The 4,545-nt window shown below is 41.5% G+C and overlaps 1 annotated feature.

Annotated features, from left to right (window-relative positions):
• Positions 3,185-3,960: an enhancer, noted in NCBI's record as "OCT4-NANOG-H3K27ac-H3K4me1 hESC enhancer chr8:82512159-82512934 (GRCh37/hg19 assembly coordinates)". NCBI's record gives its function as "activates a minimal SCP1, AML or CMV promoter by ChIP-STARR-seq in naive H9 embryonic stem cells {active_cell/tissue: H9 hESC(naive)}" and the evidence as "EXISTENCE:reporter gene assay evidence [ECO:0000049][PMID:30033119]".

Genomic DNA, 4,545 nt, shown 5'->3' with positions numbered 1-4,545 from the left:
TGTTGAAATGTTCTTTGTTCCTTTCTTTGTTTCTTTTGCTGACTTTTCTTCTCTGGTGATAATACAGTTCTGTAGAGTGCTCTCCTTGGTGGTTTACCTTCTGACTGTCAAGTCACTCTGAGGAGACCCATGCAAGCCCCATGATTTCAACCATCACATCCTTTCTACTGACTCCCCAGTCTTGACCTACAGCCCATATTTCCCATCTGAATTCTCCCCCTGCATCTCCTGCCCATACTTGATCTGTTCAATATATTTCTATTTTTTGCTCATGCTTTTCTACTACTATACTGCAGCATTCACCTCGGCCCTTTCAAATTAGCACCTAATATATTTGAGTTTTCTCTTTCCCTAGTCTTCATATCCAATTTGTCATAAGTCATGTTTCAATTGTCCAACCAAACTGGAACACTAGCTCTTCACTGGCCTCCTCTGAGCCTTTTCAGATGACCGTCATTCTGCCCAGAATAGTCTACACTAATAATAGATTACTTTTTTATGATTGTGAAGTTTACTATAAGTTACAGTGATTCTCCTTTCTCTGGGAGTTGACCCCAACAAACAGGACTGTGCTGACTGTCACCACATCTGTAGATGGTGTGGCTCTGTTCCTTGTTTAATTCAGGAAAGGATATCTGACCCAAAAGGACAAATTAAATTTGCTAGGGCATTTGATATTTTGAACCCAAAGACAGAGATTAGGAAAAATTGGGAATAATTCAATGTGTTATAAAGCACTTTAGGTAAGTAAGCACTGGAAAAGAAGTAACAAGCTTCTCAGATGGAGCTGGGTATCAGCATTCAACCCCAGCAGGCTGCCTGTTTAAGAAGAATGGAAATATGCCATAGGTAATATGTTCTTACTTCCAGTATGTCCTATATAATACCTTCATATCCCTTAGGTAGTTTAAGTAATTCATGAAATATTTTCCTTGATAAAATGTTATTAATGATATTTAGCATTTGCTGAGCACAATGTACCATGCATTATGCTAAACACTTGATACTCATGATCATACTTAAACCTCACAATAACCCCAGGAAACATCATTATCCTCCTTGTACTGAGGCAAATAGATGTTAATTAGCCCAATTTCCCTGCTCAGGGTGACATAGCTAAGCAATGACACTTCTGCAGAGACACCGCTGAGGTGCACAGTCTTAACCCCCTGCCTAGTGGTCCTCCTGCTGGCTGTACGTTAGAACCACCTGGGGAGCTTATAGATAAGCCACTGCTGGCATCCCACCTGAGTGAGTCTGACCAGGTCTGGAGGGTCACCTGGCCATCTGTATTTTTTAAGTTTCCCAGGTGATACCAAGCAGCCAGAATTGAGAACCATTTTGTTTCCTGGATGTAACTTTTTTTTGTCTTTCAGACAGGATCTCGCTCTGTCTCCCAGGCTGGAGTGCAGCGGCCCAATCATGGCTCACTGCAGCCTTGACCTCCCAGGCTTAAGCAATCCTCCCATCTCAGCTTCCTGAGTAGCTGGGACTACAGGCGTGAGCCACCACACCTGGCTTTTTTGTTTTTATTTACTTTTTATAGAGATGTAGTCTCTGTGTTGCCCAGGCTGGTCTCAAACTTCTGAGCCCAAGCAATCCTCGTGCCTTAGCCTCCCAAAGTGCTGGGATTACAGGCAAGGACCACTGTGTCTGGCTTGATTTCTTAAAAGTAGCCAATTCACATACCCACCTACTCATCCACCTCCAGGAAGCTTAGAGGGTCTTAGGACACAACTTGATACCTTAAAATTAAAATGTTGCTTTGCTACCTGATGAGCCTCCTTGGATATTATTGTACCTGCCTTTTTTAATTCCCACAAATTAACACTAGATGACAAACTACACATAAGGAATCATCTTGTATTAAGTATTTCCATTTCTGAAACACTATTTTTTTCTTCAAATAACCTCATTAGCCAATATTTGAGTTTAGTAAAATAGTATTAAAACCAAGGGAATCCTTCATAAATTGAATTACTCTGGGTCGTGAGTTAACTCACATTCCCTTCAGCAGAGCCATAGGTGCCCTGTACACACTATGGCCTGGATTTCAGTTGCCTTCCAGGTTCAGCTGTTAAAAGATGTTCATTAATCACAAACATATAGAAAATAAAATACTTGTCTTTTGTTATCACATCTGAGAACACTTTTCCACAAATAATTTCAATATCCCTGTTAAATAATTGACTCACTAATAAAAACATTTGGGAGCTTGTATCTCCAGGGGTACAAGGCAGGGGGCGCTTAGACACTACTATATGTCCACTTTCCTTTTCTTTTTTCTTAGAAATTGTGTTTGCTTGCATGATGGAGTAATGGAGGTGGGGTTTGTGAGGAACAATATAAGAGAAGTATACAATTACTATTTATGTTATGTTGAGGAAAAATGTAATAACATTATCATTGATTTAGTTTCTCATAACTGGCAACGTACCTTCATATCCCTGACTTCAAAGTGGCAGCAACTTGTCTGGTCACTTCAGAGTTGGCAGACTCAGGGCAGTGAGGACCTGTGCACCTGTGCATGGTGCTTGAGTTTTTCCTACCACAGCGTTCTCCATTCTGAATTTATTTTACTACCTTAGAGTTTCAAGTGTTAACCCCTTATCATTCATCTGACTTTACACATGATGAAAGGTGAGGTGTGAGGGCTGTAGATGTTCGAATACTCTTTCTAAATGCAAATCAGTGATCACCAGCTTAATGGCTCCTCAGTTTTGGGATGAAGTCTAAATTCCTTAATATGGATTATAAGGTCATCAGGCTTGATCCCCCGCTCCTCATCTCAGGGTTTTCACCTCCAGCTTCACGCACTGACATAAAGTTCAGACTGGATTTCTTTCAGCTGCAGCAGCATTCCTTCCTCTGCTGTGAACCTTCACAACAAGCTGAGATTTTTTTTTTCGTTTTTGAGGGGTAAGAGGTAATACAGTCCTCCCTTGGTGTCTTTGGGGGTTAGTCCCAGGACCTCTGGTTGATAGCAAAATTTGCAGATGCTCAAATGCCCAATATAAAATGGTGTAGTATTGTTATACCCAGACAAGTTAGAGAAAACGCCACACTTTGAGATGAATTAAGAGTCCGTTATTTAAGCCAGCGGCCAAAGAGATGGCTAACGCTCAAAATTCTCTCGGCCTTGAGGAAGGGGCTTGATTAACTTTTATACCTTGGTTTAGGAAGGGGAGGGGAACTCAAATGCAATAATTCTGCAGAAGTAAAAACATGCAAGAATCAAAGAAACAAATGGTTACAGAGAGATAAACAATTTAAAAGACAAATGGTTACAAAAAAACAGTGGAACCAGGTGTGGGGCTCTAAGTCCTTTATTAGAGTTAGATATAGATGCTATGCCGGACACAGTCTCAAGGCTTTATGTTGTTACCTCTTTGAGTAAAATCCTGGGAACTTCTTACATTGTTTGTTTCAGTACCTCATCAGTCAATTGGGCTCCTTTGAAATGCTGATCTGCTTACACAGGTTAACTCCTTGAGGAAGGGGGTTGGGTAAGGAGCCCTTAATGTCTTGTAAACATCAAGAAGCCAAATGGAGTTTGTCCGGCTTTCCCAGCCAAGAGAAAGTCTTACTCGTATGGGAAAAACAAGGCTGGGTAACTAAGGAGACAAGCAGGGAAAACTTAAAAGTAACGAGTTAGAGTAAAAACAAGGTTAGGCATTACCGTATTTGCATATAGTCTATAGGTATCCTCCTTTATACTTTAAGTCATCTCTAGATTATTTATAATACCCGTATTAGTCCATTCTCACACTGCTATGAAGAAATACCCAAGACTGGGTAATTTATAAAGGAAAGAGCTTTAATTGACTCACAGTTCTGCATTGCTAGGGAGGCCTCAGGAAACTTATAATCATGGCGGAAGGCAAAGGAGAAGCCGGCACCTTCTTCACAGGGTGGCAGGATGGAGCGAGTGCAAGCAGGGGAAATGCCAGATGCATATAAAACCATCAGATCTCATGAGAACTCACTATCACGAGAACAGCATAGGGGAAACTGCCCCCGTGATCCAATTACCTCCACCTGGTCCTACCCTTGACACGTGAGGATTATGGAGATTACAATTCAAGGTGAGATTTGGGTGGGTACACAGAGCTAAACCATATCAATACCTAATACTGAAACTGCGTTTGCAAAATTATGACTGAGATAGTGATAAAGATCCATCCAACTTAAATGACTCCATCTTGCCTCTAACCTCCAAGCTGTCCTTGTTCATTCCTGGGTATAGGCGGAACTTACTTTGGGAGGAAATTAGTTTATAGTTTAAAACAAAGACGATAACAGCCCTTTCCCCAAACAAACCTCCTTCTCGCCTGGGGACTAGACTACTAACATTAGCCACGAGATTAGAAATTATGGTTTAGGAGTCATGTGGCTGGAGGCTACAAGCTTCTGACCCTCCCTAAACTGCTCTTAAGATCAATGCTTGAGATGTTTTGCAGACCCTTCACTTGATGAACAGCCAGCACCACCCAGATTGAGAAACTGCCCCATCTGATCTTGTGACCCCCCACCCAGGAACTGACT

This window comes from Homo sapiens, chromosome 8 (assembly GCF_000001405.40).
Source record: "Homo sapiens chromosome 8, GRCh38.p14 Primary Assembly".
Classification (NCBI taxonomy): Eukaryota; Metazoa; Chordata; class Mammalia; order Primates; family Hominidae; genus Homo; species Homo sapiens.
This window is presented reverse-complemented; position numbering and strand designations above follow the sequence as displayed.